This window comes from Homo sapiens, chromosome 15 (genome assembly GCF_000001405.40).
Source record: "Homo sapiens chromosome 15, GRCh38.p14 Primary Assembly".
Classification (NCBI taxonomy): domain Eukaryota; kingdom Metazoa; phylum Chordata; class Mammalia; order Primates; family Hominidae; genus Homo; species Homo sapiens.
The window spans coordinates 60,902,086-60,924,213 of record NC_000015.10 but is presented as its reverse complement, the minus strand read 5'-3'; the positions used below and the strand labels follow the sequence as shown (position 1 = coordinate 60,924,213).

The 22,128-nt window shown below is 42.9% G+C and overlaps 1 protein-coding gene across 2 annotated transcripts in view, besides 3 other annotated features; it reads left to right on the top strand.

The window, feature by feature from the left end:
• The window catches only part of RORA (RAR related orphan receptor A), a 741,019-nt gene that overhangs the window by 305,089 nt on the left and 413,802 nt on the right, over positions 1-22,128 (top strand). The window lies entirely within an intron of this gene.
• Positions 7,269-7,378: an enhancer, noted in NCBI's record as "active region_9519". NCBI's record gives its function as "activates an Ori minimal core promoter by ATAC-STARR-seq in GM12878 lymphoblastoid cells {active_cell/tissue: GM12878}" and the evidence as "EXISTENCE:reporter gene assay evidence [ECO:0000049][PMID:35858748]".
• Positions 14,776-15,975: an enhancer, noted in NCBI's record as "MED14-independent group 3 enhancer chr15:61200438-61201637 (GRCh37/hg19 assembly coordinates)". NCBI's record gives its function as "activates an origin of replication core promoter dependent on BRD2, BRD4, P300/CBP and CDK7 cofactors, and independent of MED14, by STARR-seq in HCT116 cells {active_cell/tissue: HCT116}" and the evidence as "EXISTENCE:reporter gene assay evidence [ECO:0000049][PMID:35650434]".
• Positions 16,482-16,983: an enhancer, noted in NCBI's record as "OCT4-NANOG hESC enhancer chr15:61199430-61199931 (GRCh37/hg19 assembly coordinates)". NCBI's record gives its function as "activates a minimal SCP1, AML or CMV promoter by ChIP-STARR-seq in naive H9 embryonic stem cells {active_cell/tissue: H9 hESC(naive)}" and the evidence as "EXISTENCE:reporter gene assay evidence [ECO:0000049][PMID:30033119]".

The following is a 22,128-nucleotide window of genomic DNA, read 5'->3' as shown; positions in this document are numbered from 1 at the left end:
CTGCCTCAGAAAAGTTGTCAGCTAACACCTTCAGGAGATAAGTTGTCAACAAGCTGAAAGTCAGAGTTCTTTTCTTGAATGGAATGCTACACATGGGGTATGGGATAGAGGGCAGGAGAGAGGAGAGCAAGTGCCAAGGTGAGTTTCACCCACTTGGGAAGTTTTCAGTGGGCTGGCCCTTTCTGGACCCACCTCTGCCAGTGCTCACCCCTTAAAACACACTGCCCCGTGCTCACACATGATCATGGTCAGTCATCGTAGCTCTGCCCACAGCAGGGCCAGGCATGGACTAAGGGGGAAAGAGAAGGCTTCTGAGCCCTTGCCCACTCCAGCTTCCAGCACAACTTAGCAGAACCACAGCTAGCACATGGCAAGCCCTATGGTGAGTTAGAGGGGAGGGTTTTTTCCTGGCTCTTCTGGGTGGGGTTGTTGCCACTGTGATCTGTAGTGGGAACATAAATGACACAGAAGGTATGGGGCAACGGGAAAAACAAAGTTTTGTTGCTGTGGAGCGTTCGGAAAGGCCTCAGTAATTTGTTTAGCAATTAGTCTTTAGATATAAGTCACTAGGTGGATCAACACAGCAAAGCAGTAAGTAAGCACATTTTAGGATTATGTGCCTTTTTTAAAAAGACTTGGGAGAGACCCTAGAAATCATCGGAAGCCCACGGAAGTTGGTGCCTTGACTCAAGTGACTCTGAGTGTCAGGGGCCTAGATGACCTCAGGTCTCCAGCTTCCCGTCCAGTGCTTTCGTCACAGCCTCTTTTCACTCTCATCTGTTCATTTATCCCACATACATTTGTTTGAGGGCCCACTATGTGCCAGGTGCTGTGCTGGGATGTGGAATACACAGATGAATAAAATGAAGGCCCTTTGTTCGGGAGTGGGGGGACTCATGATCTCCTTAGAGGAAGCAGAAGCATTAGCTGGTTGTTTAATAAAACGTGGTAAGAACTTCTAGATGCATGCAATCCAGGAGACAATCTGTTTTTTTAAGGAATCAGCACAAGGTAAAATACTGCTTAGGCATGTGATCCGGCCTTTGTTCAGACTTCAGAGGACGGCATCCTGTGTGCAAGATGAAAACGACAGCTTCTTTGGGCAGTGCTGAAAGAGCAGAGAGAAAAGATACAAAGTGCAAAAAGTGGGTCCTGTCTGCTTTACTTTCACCTTAATTTGGGCGGTATGTTTATTTGAGGATCTTAAAATGCTTCTTTCATACACACAGTGACACCAGATATCACACCTTGTCTGTCTTCCCGGAAATACCCCTTACAGAATCTCTTCTGCATATATGTGTGACAATAGTATCTGCTCTGCCATTTGTATTCACAGTCTTGTGTTAAAGGGTCTTTCCTTTATAGTATTAGATGTAGTTTTGACAGTGACAGCAACCATCCATGGTTCTAAAGAATTCAGAAGAGTGTTACAGACAGAAACTCTGGGTGTTTTTAGGAAGCTTCATGACAATACCCTTTTTTCTCTCCTCACAAAGTATTATGTGATTGGTGGCCAAAGTCATAAACAGCTTTCCTATCTATTGACTCTGTGATTTGTTAAGACATTGAATTAATTAAGAATGAAGAAATGCATACTAAGTATACCTTGTTTGGATCTTGATTTGAGCAAAACAGTTGTGAAAATATATTTATGAGTTAGGAAAACTGGACAAGAAATAGGATAGTAGCAGTAGTCTTTAATGATCATGGATGTGAGTATCTTCTTAAAGAGACTTTATTTTTAGAGCAGTTTGAGGTTCACAGAAAGATTGAACAGAAATTACAAAGAGCTTCCACATACCCCTTCCCCCCACTCTCCCACTATGAATATCCCCCACCAGAGTGGCACATTTGTTATAATCAATGAACCAACATCATTATCACCCAAATTGCATAGTTTATGTTAGGGTTCACTCTTGGTGTTGTGCCTTCTACAGGTTTGGACAAATTTATAAACACATGTATCTACCATGATAGTATTATACAGAACAGTTTCACTGCCCTCAAAATCCTCTGTGCTCCACCTATTCACCCTTCCCTCCCCCAAGCCCCAACAACCACTGATCTTTTTAAATTATGTTTTCTAAAAGAGTTATTTCTCAGAGATGCAAACTGATGTATATATGCAAAAACAAGCATATATCTGTAGACTGTGCATATATTTTTTAACGGTTGGGGAGACAGATGCAGATAAAACAAAATTGGCCATAGGCTGATAATTATTGAAGCTCAGTGACGGGGTCCATGGGGGTCTGTTATAGTATTCTCTTTAGTTTTGTGTATATTCAATATTGTCCATCACATTTTTAAAATTTTAAAAATGAATGACCATATATTGAGCACCTACCATGTGTGAGGTTCAGTGCTAGGTGTTTTATACACAGCTTCTTATTAGATCCTCACAGCAGCCCTGTTAGTGAACTGTATTATGCTGGTTTCGCAGATGAGGAAGATGTAGCGTAAAGGTAAAGTGAATTCCAAAAGCCACATGGTGAGTGGCAGAGATGGGAATTGAACCCTGTTTTTTCTTTAATTGTATTGGAGCATAACACATACAAAGAAATGTGCACAGATCATATTTGTGCAGCTCAATGAATTTGTAGGTGAACACATCGCCTATACCCACATAAAGAAATGGAATAGGATCAGCATCTCCAAAACCACCTCATGACCTTGCCAGTCACTACCCTTCCTCAGAGGTAACCACTGTCTTGACTTCTAGCACCTTAGATGACTTTTGCATATATTTTGAACCTCATTTAAATTGAATCATGTGCTATGTACTCTTTTATGGACGGCTTCTTCTGCCTAACATTCTGTGCATAGAATTTGTCCATGTTGATGCCTGCAATGGGTCTTTCCTTTTCATTGCTATGTAGTGTTCCACGGTAGAAATGTGCCATGATTGATCCATTCTGTTAGGGATGGAATTAGTGGTATTTCCATTTTGGGGTTTTTATGAATAGTGGCTCTGTGAATATTCTTATACATGTCCTCAGGTGGATATAAGTATGGATTTCTGTTGGATATATCCTGGCAGTGGAATTGCAGGGGCATGGGGTAGGCATATGTGAACCAGGAGCTCCAGTTTTCTTTCTATCACCCATTTGTCTCTACAAATAGGTTAAGAAATTAACCACTTTATGTGATTAGTTCTATAAGACTGGAGAATAACACAGGGTCTTAGGAGGCTATGAGGTAGAACCAAGACTGCAATTTAGGCCTTGATATTCTGGTCCTGGGTTGATCATGAGCCCCAAGGCCCAATCCAGACCTTCAAGGCTTCATAAATCTTCCTTGAAGTGAGTTTAATGCAAGAAAAGAACTCCACTGAGGTGTCCTGCATCTGTAGTTTTACACAATAGCATGTCATTTCAGGACACCAAAAGTCATCTCACAGAGAGAAACATGAACATAATTGTTTAAACTATCAGCAAATGGAAAAATGTTATGAAGATTTCAATAAAATTCATCTTCACATTTGGTGTACCTGAAGATTTGTCAATATTATAGCAATGGTCTCATCACAGTTTCATCTTTGAGGATGAACAATATCTATTGTAATAGCTCGCTGTTAACTATGAACCCATGGTATGTAGGCTTCTCCCTGGGGTATGTGGTAATCCACATCTGTCATATCTTAGTGCCCAGCCTGTTGTTCCTAGCACCCAGTTTGGGTACTGGTAAAGCTTGGTGACTTTAGGCCTAAGAGAGACCTAAAATGGGTGGCCTACTGACAGTTCCAGGTGACAGCCATGGTCTGAGGATGTGGGTGATATGATAGGAAAAAATGTGGGCTTCACATACAAATGGGCATAGGTTCAAATCCCAGATCTACTTATTCTTTGACGTTGAAAACATTACTTAATTCTGAGTCTGCTTCTTTAAGACAAAGATGATGAGATTAGCCTTAGAGAAATATTAGAGAAAGGTTAACTTAGATGATAGAGGTGGAAGATAAAATGGCTGATTCGTAGATAGAAACATAGATACTTAGATATATAGATAGATACATAGATAGATGCATACATAATTCCAAGGTCTCCGGAAGCTTTCTTTTCTGCCTCCAAGTCCTTTGGATGTTTGGTTAGTGGGGTGAGATAGTGCTGCTGAAGCTGTGAGGGAGCTGATAAAGGAAGAGGCCTCTTCTCTTTCCTATTCCTTTCCACTAAAACTGAGCCTTCTTCCCCTTCTCCTTCGTATGCAGTTAGCACAGTGGAGTGTGTGATCCTTCCTGGCTCTTCTGTACGTTCTATAAGATTTTATTTCCTGCATGGTTGAACACCAAGCATGAAGATTATTATTTGTTTATTTGTTATTGATTAGTTGACAGCCCTACCTGCATCCAGAAATTTTATACTAAAAACATAGGTACAAAAAGATCAAAACAATATATAAAACAAAAGCAGATATCAGGCAAAAGAGAGGAAAAGAAAACCGTAATGAAAACTCCTACCTAAGGAAAAGATGGATTTTTCAGCTTCCTAGCAGCTAGAGGAAAAGGGAATCAGTGTGGACTTCAGATTTCTCATTATCTATTAGTAGGGGGGCATTGCAGGTCAGGAGGTGCAAATGTCTGCCTGCTCTTGACCAGTGAAAGGAATGTGATACAGGAGTCTTTGTATAGGTGCCGTAATCAGGTAAAAAATATGTATTTAAATATCCCAGAGTAGCCTCTATAATGGATGCAGAGGCACTCCCTATATAGGTATTATCTATAGTAGCCTAGTCTCAATTTTGAGGCATCAACAACTCCTCCCTCATGAAGGAATTGCATTATGGAAAATCACTCGGAGGTGGCCTGTGTGGGCTCCAGGCCTGGCTCTGCCATTTATCTGCTTTGTGACATTGGACCATACCTTCCTTCACCCCTGCTGGGCCCTGGGCTTCTCCTCTATTAAACGAGGGGTCTCCTGCAGTTCTAAGAGCTAAAGTTTCTCTTATTCTTCATATGCCAGGCACCCCGTTGTGTGGGTTTCTCCTCCCCATGCCCAGTGATATCCAGTGAGAATCAATAGCAAGAGCAACCTCAGAGGATAGTCAACTCAAGGGGATGTGGAGGAAAAGCCAAGGAGGCCACTGTTGCCAAGAAATACAGTCTGGAGACCAGTTTTGTATTTGGGGGCAGGGTGGTTCATGCCTAGTGCATATTATATAAGCCGCATGTCTTTTCGTAGCATCATAAGTAGATGGAACCTACCACCTCCTCTGCTTCTGCCTTCCTTATATTCTCTTGGTCCCCACAGAGCAGAGGACAGGCAGTCATTCAGTCTCCTGGGTTTCGTACCCCTTAGCTCAAGCACGGGCTTTCTGAGCTTCCTTACTCTCTGCCTAACAAGTTGGTAATTCCTGGCTGTACCCTGGCTCAACAGACCTGAAGACTAGCCTGGTACAGCTCAGGGCCTGCACCCTTTGCTCAAGCTCACACATCTCTTTCTGCTCCCTCCCTGTCACCAAGGCACCCCAGACATGCCCAGAAACAGGACAAACCTGCACAACTACATTCTTCACCTGCCAGAAGAAGAAAAAAAATATTTCTGATATCTCCAAGGTTCCTGCTTTTCTGTCAATTGGGAATGAAAAGATAAAGTCCCTTTCATAACAACATTTTCTTACAAAGCCACAACTAATCATGTCATTAATGGGTAATTCCAAGGTAGCTAGTTGTTGGTAATCATGCATCTCCAAAGTGCCCAGTTTCTACATGGCAATTCCAATCGTAATTACCATGAAATTATATAACTGCAAATTATCCTGCCGTGTGAGTGGTGTAAATAAATACGTACCTGCTCTGTGATAATAAACATGAATGACATGGTTAGTTAATTAGTAGCCACTGGAAATTCACTAATGGCCTACCAAACCAGTAACTTTCTCCTGAAGAGGGAAGAAGATTGTTGATGTTTGTTCAGTTTGGCTTAATCAAGGCTTTAGTGAAGGCATTGATACTGCCTGCTCTTTGTTTTCTCATGGTTCCTTGAATCTGGAAAGTGAGGCTCTGTTAAGTTAGCAACCAGGACTTTCCAAAGACATTAAGTCCCACACACTAGTTATATGACTTGGGGATGGTGCTTAATCCTTCTGAGCCTCAAATTCCTTCTCTGTAAAATGGGAGTGATGCCAACTTGATGGCAATGCATACCTCCTGGGGTTGTCGAAAGGATTAGATGAGGTTACGTACAGGGACACATGGTATAAACTCTCCAAGGTTTGCTGTTACTGGCTGAGAATGGGAAGAAAGCCCAGCTTCACAGGCCATCCCACTTTTGTGCTCAGAGGGCTGCGTCTGATTCAGTTGGGTGTGAAGCACTATAGCAGAGACGCTGTCACGCTTTGTCACTTGAGGGTGGCAGATTGAACCCAGCACTGAACTCTTACCACTTTCCAAAGGGAGATTATAACTCCACTTCCATCAGGAAATAAGGGCCGATGCTTCAGATGCGTGAGGGAAAGGGATTACACGCAAAGAAACTTAACTCCTGAGAGATTATATTCTCAGCCCTTGCCTTTAACTGGTAAATAAATCAGCCAAGAGTACACTGACCAGGAAAAACACCAGTTATGCAATGCGAGGGCTCTGGCCCAGCAAACACAGCTGCCCCTCGGCCGACGTTTCCCTACTTTCTCCCAGATAGAGCTGCTCGTGGATGCCTCGTCAGTTAGGAAAATTCCAGAGGGAAAAAGTGGGACAGCACCCAGCAGTTTCCCGGGAGTGTCTAGGCTAGGCTCGTAGAACTTTCAAAAATAAGACCAAGAAAGGCCACTTTCCTTACGACAGAAAACTAACGCTGTTACTCTCCTTACATAAGGGCTGCACCTTGACACACAGAAAGCTACTTTCAGGGATGATAGATTTATATTCCAAAGGGCTACTAAACTTGTAACCATAGTAACAAACAAAGCTATTACATAAAATGGCTTTGCCACGTAAAAGCAATAATTATATTAACCAGATGGGAGGAAAAAGGAGAAGGAAGTCTGATCAATGTGGAAGGCACCAGTAAATTGGATTGAAAATGCATGACATTTTCCTAAATTACATCTGTTTGGGGAGGCGGGTAGGTGCCCAAGGCTGAAGAGCTGTGATGAAGTTGGGTCCAGGCCCCACCAGGTGGCAGTATGCAGAAGTTGTTGAAGCAGCTCCTCTGTTGAGGGTTTTGGGCTCTGGAAGCCGGATACTTCTTCAAGGCTTGATTTGAAAGCACCACCCCCTCCCATCACCAGTGCGATGGGGAATTTCCCTGTCAACACTAACAGTGTAGAACTGGCCCAAATTAGACTTTATTAAGAAGGATGTTGGTTGAGAAATATTCTAGTTGCAATAAGCAATGTATGCTAAGCGAAACATCAGCATGTTCTGATTAGGCCCTGAGTGTGTGATACAGATCAGGGCTCACCGTGCAGTTAACTCCTGAGTTTCTACCCTGATCTCTAACACTTGACCTTAAACTTAGCTGCATGTCAGAATCACCTGGGGGTCAAGAGGGGCTTTAAAAAATACTGATGCCTGATGCCTGAGTGTCATACTCACCTATCACCTTTTCTGATTTAATTGAATGTGATGTGGCCTGGGCATTGGTATTTAAAAATATATATATATCCAGGCAATTCTAATGATATTTTCGAGGGATGGATGAGTGGTAAGCTATTTATTAAGAGGAAGCTGATGCGAAATATTCAGAATTGGCATATTTCGGGGCAAAGGGAGCTAGGGACTGACTTCCTCATCGACTGCTTCCTCTTTTAGTCAAGTGGATAGATCTCTGTTTAATTATTCCAGCTCAGAAATACCAGCTAAATCACATAGAAAATGTTGTCCTGATGTTTTAGACTGTCTGCACGTTTGTCATAGAATACCAGGGTCTCTTCCCTTGTTTCCAATGCATTGTGAATCTCAGTGAAGTTGCCACCTGTGCAATCCCTGGCCAATCAGATCTGTTCCTTTACAAGGCAGGGAGGATTACACAACACAGACGCATTGGAGGGAATCTGAATATCTAGCTAGATCTTGTGTAATTTGACCCAATCAGTCAAACGACACATACAGGAACAGCCCTGGGAAAAGTGTAAAGTCGGCAGAACTGCCTTGTCTCCATCACTCCTCACCTCCCCCTCCAGTGCCCCACCCAGTGGATTTTAAACCTTTCTTTCCTTCCAGTCAATTTGAGATGTGACATGTTGGTGAGTGAAATAATGGGTTAATCAGGGAAAGAAACACCCCCATGTCTCTGCTGTTTTATGAACTTTTTCTAATAGCCTTCCTGTAGGAGCCCTTATTATGTGAAGCGCAATGTGCTAAGTGCTTTATCTCATTTAATCTTCCCAGCAAATTCATGCGGAAGCCATTATTATCTCCATTTTATAGAAGAAGAAACTGAGACTTGAAGAGTGTAAATATGTTGTTCTTGGCCCCACAGCCTGTTGGGATTTGAACCCACATTCGAGCGAGCTAGAATTCTGATCTTATGCTGCTTCCTCTTCCACTTCTTCAAGCCGAAGCTTCCTCATTTCACTGCCCAATAATGGAGCCAATAGCCACATGTGGCTATTTAAATGTAAATCTAAATTAATTAAAATGATATAAAATTAAGAATTCAGTTCTTAAGTCATACCGCATTTCAAGTACTCAGTAGGCATATGTGGCTAGTGGTGAACGTACTGTACTGTGCAGAAATAGAGTATTCGCGCCACCATGGAAACTTTGACAATGCCGAGAAACAATCTGGCAAATCATGTCAATTTAGATGAGTAACTGAGGTCCAGAGAGGAGAAGTGATGTGCCTAAGAATGAGCCCCTCCTCTGCACTGGGGCCTGTGCCCCCCCAGTGGAATCAGTGCTGCCTGAGAACTTCCTCCAGGGCCAGCACTCTGTAGGTGAGTGCCTGTGGAGGCAGTGGCCAGGATTCAGTCAGACCACTTATTGGGGAAAGAAGTCCCAATGCTCATGATCTGAAATGCAGCTCAGAAAGCATGTCTTGATGCTTCTTCTGGCCCATGCTGGGGAGAGCAGGCTACAGAGATAACTGCCCATAGCCTTGTTTCTGCCCTCCTGGGACTTAAAATCCAGAGGAACATATTGGGCTGGAAAAAGCTGAGTTTTTAGAATTAGATAGGCTAGTGTTCAAGTTCTGGTGTGGCTACTTTCTAGCTGGGCAATCTTGGGTATGATAGATAGTCTCTCTGATCTCCCCTCCTCATTCGGAAAGGCATGATCACCATGACCATCTGGTAGGATTTCTTGTGAGTACCGAAATGAAAGGTGGAAGCATTTGGCCCAATACCCAATAAGTGCCAAAGAAACATTAGTGCCCTCCCCTTCACCAAAGCTTCTTCCTGGATGGCCCACTGACCCCCGGTGTCCTCTGATATTTCTGGGGTCTTTCAGAAGGTGAGTAATCACTTTACGATGTCTGAGATTTTTAGTCTTGACTGCTTTTGTTTCCTAAATGATGGAACTCCCAAGCCTTGGTTTCCAAGGATTTGCTCTCCATTTCTTTATCACATTCACAGATTACTTCCCAGTCAAGTGAGATGTTCAATAGAAAATTTATTCCGGGACACTGTGGTTTTAGTGCACAGTTAAAGAAAAAAAACATGGGAAAGAAGCCAGCTGGACTATGAAATATTCATTTGCATCACAAATATTTACTGCGTTCTGTGTGCCAAGTACTGTGATAGGTCTTGGAGGCAGAACAGTGGACATGGTAGATAAAAGTCAAATCCCGAAGGCAATTCCATAAACCACAAATAGAAAGCACACCTTTGTATTTCTTGTCATGGCTATAGATCTGACTGGGGTTGTATGTAAGGAGGAGTGGCTGCCTGGTTCTCACAAAGCATGGTGGTGGACTTAATGAATTCATTCTCTGTGGCTAGGAGCCTGCATTCCCCCTCACCTCCCCATGGGCAAGCACTTTGGGAAAGCCCTTTCCCCAAAGCCTCCCACCCTTTCTCTCGCAGTCTGACATTGCAGTTTACATTTGGTGCTTCTTGAGTCCAAAACAATTTCTTAATTCAACAAATGATCACACATCATTCCCTGACTGTGTAAAGTACAGCAAATTAGCACAGCCAAAGCAGGAAATATTTGCTCTGAACGTGCACCCGTCTTTGTTTTCACAGCCTCTTCCCAGTCAATGGAGTGCAGATCATCTATTGCCAGACACCATGGTATACACTAGAGTTACAGAGGTGAAGAGGCACGGTCCCTTTCATACAAAAGTCAGTGTGAAAGGGAGACAGACATTAACAGAAACACTTAATCCACCGGACTGAGTTCCATAGGAAGCAGTGACATGGCAAAAGGAGTGGTCAATTGTTTGGAGGGAACTATGAGATGGAAAAAACAGGAAAGATAATTTTCAAAAGACAAAGCAGCATGCATATAAGGGCATAAATATTTTTTGTTGAGACCCCCTTTAATAGACTCTAACTCTACAGTTGTTACTTTGACACCCTATACAGTAAATCCATAGTATTTAAGCAGATTCTATAGTCATCCAAATATTTGCCCATAGCCATTCTTTAACCGTGTCTGCTGCTAACAAATGCCAGCAAAGCACAGCATTGTCTTTGTTTTAACATTTCCCTTAAAATAGGGCCACCTTTCTGTTTTCCACCTGACTCACAGTGAAACAGAAAGACCTGGAATGAAGTAAGTCATTTGGTGCCCTGAGATAAAGGACAGCACAGCCTGTCACGTGGCAGTCACGGGGGAAGTTGTACTGACAGTCTCTTAGAAATGCAAAAACAATAAGGGCACTTGGCAACCAGAATGGAATACCAAGACGTTGGCCAATTTCCTCTAGGCTTTCCTGGGAGAGGTGGCTGTAGGAGGCTGGGGTGGAGGGGCTGATCACAGGCTTGCTCTACTGGCTCTAGAAACCAGAGGTGTAACTGGGAGCTCTCTGTAACTTTCCAGGTGGTGAGCATAGAGGCTATGGACATGGCAGGGATTTCCATGTCCACACCAAGGGCCCCTCCCTGAGCCTGAGCACGAGGTGGTGAGCTCTGAGCTCACTCCTGAATCCCAGCACATAATCACTCAGAAGCCAGGGAAAGAGGAAGTCCTCCAAAGCGTGGCTGCCCTTACCCAGTGTTTTGTGGAGCCTACTTTAGGCAGATTATCAGTAAGAATAAACCCTATAGTGCTATAATGGGCAAGCAGTGATACCTTTTCAAAGCACTATTTTTTTCAAATTGAACTTGTTTCTAAAACTAAATTATGGTAATGGTTGTACTACTCTATACATTTACTAAAAATCATTAAATATCATTAAATTGGATGCTTATAATGTGTGGATTTTGTGGTATATAAACTATGCCTCAGTAAAGCAGTTGTAAAAAATTTTTAAATCACACCTGTTAATGGATTCCCCAAACACTGTTTCTCTAGCACCTAGAGGTGGTGATTTTTTTTGTTGTGTTTTGTTTTGTTTTGTTTGTTTGTTTGTTTGTTTTGAGATGGAGTCTTGCTCTGTCACCCAGGCTGGAGTGCAGTGGCACGATCTTGGCTCACTGCAAGCTCCGCCGCCCGGGTTCCTGCCATTCTCCTGCCTCAGCCTCCTGAGGAGCTGGGACTACAGGCGCCTGCCACCATGCCTGGCTAATTTTTTGTATTTTTAGTAGAGATGGGGTTTCGCCATGTTAGCCAAGATGGTGTCGATCTCCTGATCTCGTGATCCACATGCCTCGGCCTCCCAAAGTGCTGGGATTGCAGGTGTGAGCCACCATGCCCGGCGAGGTGGTGATTTTTTTGTTTTTTTGTTTTGTTTTGTTTTGTTTTTTTGAGGCATGGTCTCCCTCTATTGCCCAGGCTGGATGGAATAGAGTGGTGCAATCATAGCTCACTGTAGCCTTGAACTCGTGGGCTCAAGCGATCCTGTCATCTCAGCCTCCCAAGTAGCTAGAACGACAGATGCAGCCCCCCCACATCTGGCTATTTTTTTCTCTTTCTTTCTTTTTTTGTAGAGGCAGGGTTTTGCCATGTTGCCCAGACTGGTCTGAAACTCCTGGCCTCAAGCAATCCTCCCACATGGGTCGCCCAAAGTACTGGGATTATAGGCGTGAGCCACTGCACCTGGTCTGGTTCAGAGAGTTTAACAGGCATTGCCTTAAGCAAAATATTGGACAAACTGAGGAGTTTCTAATATGCCTGTTGTGCCCTTTCTCCACCTCTGTGACCTTCCCTCAAATCAGTTACTGGGCAGGTTGTGGTGGCTAATGTCTGTAATCCCAGCACTTTGGGAGGCCAATGGGGGCAGATCACTTGAGGTCAGGAGTTCGAGATCAGCCTGGCCAACATGGCAAAACCCTGTCTTTTTTGTATTTTGTAAAAATACAAAAAAAAAAAAACTTAGCCAGGTGCACGTCTGTAATCCCAGCTATTTGGGAGGCTGAGGCACGAGAATCACTTGGACACAGAAGTTGGCAATTGCAGTGAACCGAAATTGCACCATTGCACTCCAGCCTGGGGGACAGTGCGAGACTGTTTCAAAAAAAAAAAAAAAATCAAAAATCCGTTACCTGACACTTTTCTCTTTTAGCCCTTCTTTCTCCCAAAACGAATTGCTTAGTATTTTACTTACTCATTAAAGAATGCGTCCTTGGCTTTTTAATATATTTGCACTTTAAACCTGTCTTTCATTCTAGAATGATTTTTAAAATCCTCATTCAAGGATTTAAAACCTTAAGGGAAGGGATAGAAGGGTAGTGAAGAAGAAGGGCTTTCCCCTAAGATCCTAGAAATCACAACAGGAAGGCAACTATCTATTTTGTCCGCCAGTAAAGTCAACTGACTGAGTATGACAGAAAATTGGGTTGATCTGATGTTCTCAAACATGGCCGTGGAAATGGCCTTGAGAGCAGAAGGTGTGTTGAAGACTAGTCCAGGCATTCCATCAGTCCACCAGTGAATCAGATACAACTAGGAGCTTCCGTCACAGAGGAGCTTACTGTAGTTACAAAAACAGCCAGAGTCAGCCGGGCACAGTGGCTCATGCCTGTAATCCCAGCACTTTGGGAGGCTGAGGCAGGTGAATCACCTGAGGTCAGGAATTCGAGACCAGCCTGGCCAACATGGTGAAATCCTGTTTCTACTAAAAATACAAAAAAAAAAAAAAAAAAAAAAAAAAAAAAAAAAAAATTAGCTGGGCATGGTGGTGGGCGCCTGTAATCCCAGCTACTCAGGAAGCTAAAGCAGGAGAATCATTGAACCTGGAAGGCGGAGGTTGCAGTGAGCCAGGATCGCGCCATTGCACTCTAGCTTGGGCAACAATAGCAAAACTCCATCTCAAAAAAAAAAAAAAAACCCAAAAAACAACAACAACAAAAAAAAAACAGCCAGAGCCTCATAAAGATGATTTATGTCCATGGAGAGAAGTGTGAACTCCTAAATATTGACATGACTGACAGTGTGGGGATGAATTCAATTAGTTGTTACAGTATCACTCTTTTAACCTTTAAAAGCATTTTGCATGTATCAAGAGAGAAGCCATGTGATTCCATGGAGAAAATGAGATGGAACTAGCCAATCTGGGTTTGTACCTTGTCTGTTTCTCTCTAAGTTCTTTGTGAATTTAGATGAGCCACCTAAACTCTCTGAGTCTCAGTCCTCCCATGTCTAAAACGGGACCCCCAACTTCACAAAGTTGTTTTGAGGTAGATGGTGTTAACCTGCTTCCACATACTGCAGAGAATAACTGTGATTGAATAAGAGGAGTATTTCACTAGTTAAAATGCTCTACTCTATTTACTTGATCTTCCAAATAATTTTCTGAAAAAAGATACCGCAGATGGCTATTACTATCTGATGGCAAAGAAAAACAGTAGTGGCTAAGTGACTTGCCTGGGATTAATATTCACATTTCCTGATAAGAATAGGGCTTTCTGGAAGCCAGCATTTTTAAGATTCTGGGTTAGTTTCCACTGTGGTTTAGGGAATCCAGTCAGGGGATGTCAACATTGACATTTCCCCTTCCAATTAGTCTCAAGAGTTCACATATCTCACTCTGTTCAATACAACCTGGAGTGTAATCATTTGTTGGTAATAACCTAGCCCTTGTTTAGCCTCATGGATCTGACTCTGAACCTGGACATCCTATGGACAAAAACACCACTTGCTTTTTATTGGCATGTTGGGTAGAATGGCTCCACACAGCCAGGAAACAATTTTATTTTTCCCCTTTGCAACTCAATTATGAGGCTGAAGGGCACATATAGATTTTTCTGCAGGAATCAAAGGGCTTTCAGGCTTACTTGATGAGTAGATTTCTGCATCACCTCCGTGGTAAAGGGTTAGCTGCTTTTAAGAGGCAAAAATGCCCAGACTGAAATAAAGAAGGAAAAAAAATAATAATACATTCCAGACCACCTTGTAAAAAATAGGTAGGCGTTCTCAATCTTGGCCTTTCACTCCAGTCCCACTTGAGGCCACTCTCTTTCCAGAGGCTCTATGGAACAACAAGGGTGGTGAGAACGCTGAATTAGGAGGCAAAAGCCCATGCTAGTGTTCTGTCCCCTAATGTGACCCACGCTTAGTGGGGATCCTGTTCAGAACCTTCAACCTGCTCTTCCTCTGTCTCTCTGCCTATAAAATGAGGGAAGTAGATTGGCTACTTTAACAAATCTCCCCTTTATAAATAACTTGTGACTCTATTTTCTATGGTTTTTTTTCAGAGTACATCTTTCTCCATTTATTTATGTGTGTGAGGGTTCAATCGTTCGATAAAGGCTATGTTTGAGAGAAGATGGAAAGGCATGGAATAAGTTTTGATCTTGGGTTTACTGCTAACATTGACTTTTCCCGTTAGCCCACCTAGGTTCTAAAGAGCTAGTATCCAGAGCTTTGACACATGGGGTGCCAGGCTTTGTTTCTCTGTTAAAATCCCCCAAATTTCCTGACTCCTCAGAACAGCTCAGCTCAGCTGGGAGTCTGTGGCTGAGGCTGGCCGAGACATCAGCAGAGTACCTGGAATGGAACTCCAAGCAGGTCGAAGCTTGGGAGCCAGTGTCCTTGCAGTCTGAATATTTGGGGTGGAGAGAGGTAACTCTGTTATGCTCACCGCTGGGACCACAGCAAGAATTCCTTTGCCACCATTTCTCTAGTCAGGCGGAGCTGTCCAGGGTTCAGGTGGCTTTCCAGGACATGCTTCAACTTGCCTGGAGATGGGTGGTGTGAGCAGATCCCTGGGTGTCTCTCTCTGGAGGTAATAATGACAAAGAGGTTTAGCCACTGAGGGAGAAATGCATCCCCAGGTCTGAGGGGATATCCCTTTTCTTCAAACAATCCCTGGGTTGTTTGTCTACAGTAGAACTCTCTTTAATAAAAAAAAAAAATGAAATGAAATAAAAATAAAGTAAAAGAACGCCCATCTTCAGTATACCAAGCAGCATGCAGGGCATAATCGCCTCAATTCTTGGTATCTGGCACAATGTTCAGTTGGCAGAACCACGCTTTCTGTGGGGGTAATAAGCTTAATATTTAGCCTGCATTACTGGGGCAGTGGTGAAGGGAGGGGGACAAAATGGGAGAGAGACCACTGTAGAAATGGATATTGAATTCCAAGTATTATTGTTGGAATCTCTGGAGAAAATGGCTCCTGAACATACAGGATTTTCAGTACAGTTTAAAAAAGGAATGACTCTTCTGGTTTTTCCATTTACTGTAGCTTCCCAAAGCTTATTTTTAGTAGCACTAATAGTGCCGCCTACCCCTGTACTCATTTTCTACAGATTTGAAAATTTGGTATTATCCTGTCTCTCCAGAGGTGCCTTCTATTTCTAAAACATTAGTACCATGGAGGGGGGAAAATAGGGCATTTTCTGAGAGAAAGGAGCCTTGGATATTTGCATTCCATTTTGATTAGTATTTTTTGTTTCTCTCAGTTCATTCAGAATCAAGGGAAAACATATTTAAATGGATATAATGTGATGCCAAGTGCCTCTGGACACCAAAAGCGCCCCCTCCACACACACCCTACGGTCAGCTCAGGCATGAAGGTGCATGTCCCCTCAAGGCCAGGCTAATGGTGGCCCTGACTCAGAGGCAGGCCTCACCAGCATGGATCAACTATAAACTAAACTGCAGAAGGCACTCATGCCCTGGGTGAGCTATGGGCAGAGAAAAACTCAGGAGCCCCAGACACATGTGGTCAGTGTGTATCTGGGTGGAGGCGGGACGTTCCGAGCATTGGAGCTGACCCCATGCACAGCCTCACAGGCTGGAACCAGGCGTCTTTGAGTGGAAGAAGTCAAGGGAGTCCCATTAGAGAAGGACCCTCTGTGTTCACTGTGCACCTGGGAGCAAGGTTTCTCACAACAGACTCTGCTGCTGAAAAATTAGTGTTTGAGTTCTAACTGGAGTTACAGACCTTGGTGACTTTGCATAGCCCTCTTGACAAGCGGGGCAGCCTTGCCAAATGACACATGGGAAGTGGAGGGTGTGCAGCAAATGCTATTTGTACGTGTTGGCTCTGGGAGTGGCAGAGTATTTCTGAGAAAAAAAACGCTAAATGTGGGCATCCTCAGCCCAGGGCTCCTCCTTTTATCAAGAGATGGCTTTGTGACAACATGGGTGCCTGAGTCCTAACAGGCACATTACAGGTGAAGTTTTGAGAAAGTATTGCTGTGTTAAATTTCCACATATGGCCTCTTCTAGCACGAATAATTCACAAATGAAGAGCCTAAAATGTTACATCTGGAAGTGACTTGAGATATCTTCTAATCTAGCTTGTTATGTAATCAAGAGCACGGAGCCCAGAGAGGGAATGTCAAGGTCAAGGTCACCCAGCTGGTGTCTGGTCTGAGTGGATGGCCCCTGACTCCTGACTCCTCTTACATTGCTCTTTCCACTGACTTTTGAAAGTGACAGATGGAATGGCCACCAGGACATGAGAGACATTTAGAGAGACATCTATTCCATGAATCCCCAATGACTGCCCCTTGCCTTTATCTTGCCTCCAAGCCTCTTCTTCCATACTCTTCTGTGCCGTGTAGCCCTGAACAAGCTGCTTCACCTCTCTGTACCTTGTTTACCTCATGTATGAAAGGCAGATGATGTTGATGATGATGGTGGTGATGATGATAATGTTGGTGGGGGGCTGAGGATGATGATGATACCTCCCTCCCAAAGTGATTATGTGTCAGAACGAGCCTCAGAGTCAGAAAATCGGGTTCAAACCCTGGTGCTCCCTCCTTCTAGCTGCTTGGAGCATTTTGAGTCACACACTCACTCTGAGCCTCAGTTTCCTTGGTTTTAAAATAGAGGAAATAATTCCTAACTCATAAAGTTGTTATGAGGATTAATTGACAAACTATAGATGTACAGCTCTTAGCTCAAATGCTCAATATATAGCCCCTGGTATTACTACAATTGCCAATAATAATAATGAGTTTGAAAAATGCAGGTACAAGTTTTTTTATAATCTGAATGTACAATAAAAATCTTAGTTATTATTAACCACCGTGGCCGTAGTATCCATCCCAAGCTATCAGTAAGATTTCTGCATAGCTAGCCCCTGGATTGGCCAGGGCTGGGTACTAGATTGGCTTCCTAAAATTCCTTAAATCACTTGTTTGCCTCTGATACAGTCTGGCTATTTCTGACACGGCCAAAGAGACCACAGAGGGCATTAAGCTGCAGAAGAGAAACTACAAACAATATCTGAGAGAGGGAGAGATTTCCTAGAATGGCTGCGACCACCTCCCTGCCAGTTTGATTTCCTGTGCAGCTGTGTGTGTTGAAAAGATTGATGTGGGCACGACCTTTAGACCCTGTTTGAAAATTACACATACAAATGGTACTTTAATGGTACATGTGGTAGTTGGGGGGTTGTGTTAATTACATTTGAATAGAGAGATGGTGATAATTCACTAGCTCAGCCCCTGGTAGTTAATTTTGTTACATCTAGGGGAAAATTCTGTTGGGGTCTATGAGTAGCTGTGGTGCAATTAGGCAGCAAGAAGGTTTTTGTCGGTACAGTTGCTATTGATTAGTATTTACTTTAAAAAGAGTAAAAGCTATTCCCTCGCGCCAGGGCTGCCTAATCTGTCAGAAGAAGAGGCTACATGTTTCACAGACGCATAGCAGGCTTGTTCATATATTATGAAGCCCCCGAAAAGAGAGTCCAGTATAAAAATCTTCCCAACTGGTTTTAATGATGCTCAAGTAAAAGGGATATACCACAGACAAGATCTCATTAAAAGAGAGAAGTCTTTTTGTAGATTTGCTGATTTATTTATGAAACACCTCTGAAATATTTATAAATGCTTTCCTGATATTTATCTGAAAATACATTTTAGGGCTTCTTTGGTAGAAGAGAGGGGGAGAATAAAGGATGATGAGGGTGGAAGAACAAGGTGAATTCAGCACCATTTCTTTCAGTAGCAAGGAAAGGGATATCCTAGGGTATAGGAACATGTCACTAGGGGGTGCCCCAAGAACCAGGCCGGCTCTAACCTGCTCAGCACAGGTGACCCTACTTGCTTGGATCTCTTAAACAGAAGCAATGGCAATCACAAGTGCTCTGTTTAATTTTCCTGACAGAACCGGGGCAGATACAGACGCTCTTGAGGGCTTTATCACTTCCTTCACTTTTAGAGCTATTTATTAATTGAAATAATAGTTATGCTACCCCTTGCCTCAGACCTACTTTCATCTGTTTAGCAACTGCTTTCTATGAAACACAAAAGAGCTCAGCAATGACACTCGTGTCTTAATTAACCATTGAATACCTTATAGAGCAGCTGTCACAACTCTTGTCACTTGAAAGGAAGCACAGTGGTCCCTGTTTAAAAAGAAAAAAAAATACACAGAAAAAAAAGTTGATCTAATGAGCTGTCTTTGACATTTCTTAAGAATTGCATATTTTATCATCATGCTTTGCACTCATATAACGATGCAAATTAAGGAACCTCTGGCTGCTCTGGAGAAAAAACAGTGAATTTACATTTCTCCCAACTGTTCAGAAGGAGACATTGGTTGCCCAGTGGCTAAGGGAAATGGTCAAGATCAGAGATGATAACAGGGCTAAGACTGCATATCAATTAAAAGAAGAAGAGGGGTTGATGTCAGTTTATGTAACTAAAATATTTCCAAGCCTCCCCAGCCCATGGTATGAATGAGTCTCATTAACATTAAAGACGAGCGCCCCCAGAGCCTCAAGCCCTCACCCGTTTGTTCAGGTAATGCAGTCCTTCATGCAGCTCATCCCAACCTCACATTTTTTGAGTTCCCAAAGAGGTAGACATGTTTTATATGTGTTTTGGAATTAATCTGGGCTTCCACTCACCATTGGATGCTGCCTGCTATTCTGAGCTGTATCAATGTCTTCAACATTGGCCTTGACCACCCCAAACCACACCACCCCTATTTTTCTTTATTGTTTCTTCTCATGGTTATGAGAAGGCCCCAGCCACCAGCCTTCTTCCGTCGTTCATTACCGTGACAGGATAGCAGCCCGTGTTGAAGTGAGGAAAACGTTTTCTGTCTCTGTGCTCATTTAGATGGGTAGTTTGAATAGAGTAGTTTGAGCCCCAAAGTGTCTTAGAATTTGGTGAGAGAGTTGTTTCAGTTCACATGTATAGCTCTTTCTACCTAAGGTGTGCACAGCCCCTGGAAGAGAGGGTAAAATGAGTTCAAACACCAGCCACCATACTGAAGGAGAACATTTCACCCATTTCAGCATCTCCCCATTTACTTGCTGACTTGTGGCTGAGTCTGTTGGCCCTGCCAGATTCTCTCACAGTGACCCTTCTTTTCCATCCCTGTCTCCTGACTTCTGCCTGCAGTCTCCTCTTCAAGCCATCATACTTGTCTATGCATGTTTGAATCTTGATTGTTGCTACAGTTCAAGTTCACCTCCCCAACTAGGAGGCTCCTTAGCCCCCATGCAAATAACCATTGAGGGAAAAGACTCTCTCCTTACTCCAACACCATGTATCTGAAGCTCAGCTCTCTTCCAGCCAGGACGCTCATATCATAAAGAAAAACGTTATTAAGAGAGAAGTCCTTCAGTAAAACCCAGGATATATCTTAAGGAGGATAGATGTTCAAATGGCATAATAATTGGCTTATTTCAAATATATTACGATAGTTATATGTTATTTGAACCACTACAAAGGACACCGATACCTACTAACTGCTCTGCAAATTCCTCAAGGGCAAAACAAATGCTGTTCCTGACACTGAGCACTCAGTATGAATGACAGAGAAATCATAGCAACCTGAGGATTGTTATTATTGATGTTTCATTTTTGTAAAGCAAACAAGATACTTTATACGTCGTATATGAATGCAAAATGTACCCCCACAAACTTATCAAATCAATGAAGCAACAAAGCATTATATAAGAGGTTTGCTGTGGAAGTTTTAACATGTTAGAAGATATTATATTCATTGTTACCCCCATTTAAATCACTATGTGAACTTGTAGAGACCGACCTCCGATTTTGCATAATTTTAAATTCATGGTCCCTGGGAAGGTAATCACCCCTTTAATAACTGTTGTGTTTCTCTTTATTCCAAATAAGGTGTGCACTCATCTGTGAATTTATGTTGGGCTAGCACGGTGTAAAATTGCCACTTTGCATTGCATACTACTTGGAGAAAGGTAGAATATAATAGCTTCACCAGCTGAATTTCAAAATAAAGCAGAGCCTTGAACATTGGTACCCTATCGTGTGCTTTGGGCTACAGAGACTGAGGAGGCCTGATGCAAACTGGACAGAATTAGGACTCTGAGGATGACTGACTCACAGGGGAAAGGATGGTTCCGGAAGACATTTTATATAAAGCTGCTTGCCAAATCGGCCAATAGGGCCCATAAACGCGTCCAACAGTAGAAACAACAGATCCTGCTGGTCTCTGCCAAGGGTACCTCTGGGAAGACAGACAGTGTTACTTGATTTACTCTGAAGCTGCAATGAGAAGAGTCTAGAGCCCAGTTTTGCAGGCTTCATGTGCCATTAGCCTCTCTCCTCACCTACATCATCCCCTCCTCAGGAGTCTACATTGTCTTCTCCTGGAACCTTCCAAAACAACTAATATAAATTTCAAGCCTGTGGTTGGTGCTTGATGAATGCCAGTTGACTTGACCACTGGAGTGCCACCTCTGAGCTAATAGACTCAGCCAGAAAGGTCAAGATAGTGTCCCATATACAGAGAGGAAGACCAGAATTCATCCCCTGAATAAAAAGCTTCGGATTAGCCTACTTTCTCTCCAAAGCACTCTGTTTTTCAACTTTATTTATTGTGTCTGGCAGATATCCTCAATTAGGAGCTAATAAACGTGAGCATTTATAAATCTTCCTTTCAGCGGAGTACGCCCCTAGATTCAGAGCATTCCGTGGGCAGCTGTAGAAGAGGAGAAAAGCGTTCTGCCCAGTGAAGGGCTAGAGTCAGCTCGTGAGAGCTGATTGTGTGCCTCTTTCCCTAACTCTGAATTCAGTGACCTCGTTCAACCACGGTGGGAGTATTTTTAACACAGAAATCAGCAGAGAGTAGAAACCAAGGGTTTTCCTCTCAGAGAGTGATTTTAAAGCATTGACCAGCATTGTCTTCTGCCTCACTGTACCTCACCTTACCACTCTCTTCTTGAAAAAGATCCAAATCATCTTTCAGCTATGTAGACATGACTCTAAAACAACACAAGATAGAGTCTGATTCACAGCAGAGGCAAGCCGTGCTGCTTCTCTAGGCCTGGATTCTAAATGCAGAACAGTGAACCTGCAAGCAGCATTCTTAGGGCTGAGCCATTCTCACGTGTAAATGGAGAGTTCCTTTCTTTTTTCAAACCCATTTTTGCAGGATGGAGGGTCCTGTCTTCATCTCAGATGAATCAGTGGGAAGCTGATCCACAGCCCACAAATCCCTTTTACTAAGAAGGATCACCTGGTAAGCTTTGGGTTACTCTCTGTTTTTTAAAAAAAAAAAATCATAAAATTGAAATAGTTCAACATAGATTTGAATCTAAAGAGCCTTCACTGCAGAGTTTATCTGGTGACCATATGACACTACAAGGACAGCTTTTAAAAAGCCAAATATCAATGGCTGAAGAATGGAATTGAAGTAGAAAATCGAGTTAGAACTGTATTAAAACAAGTCATATTATTCAGCTTTATCTATAATAT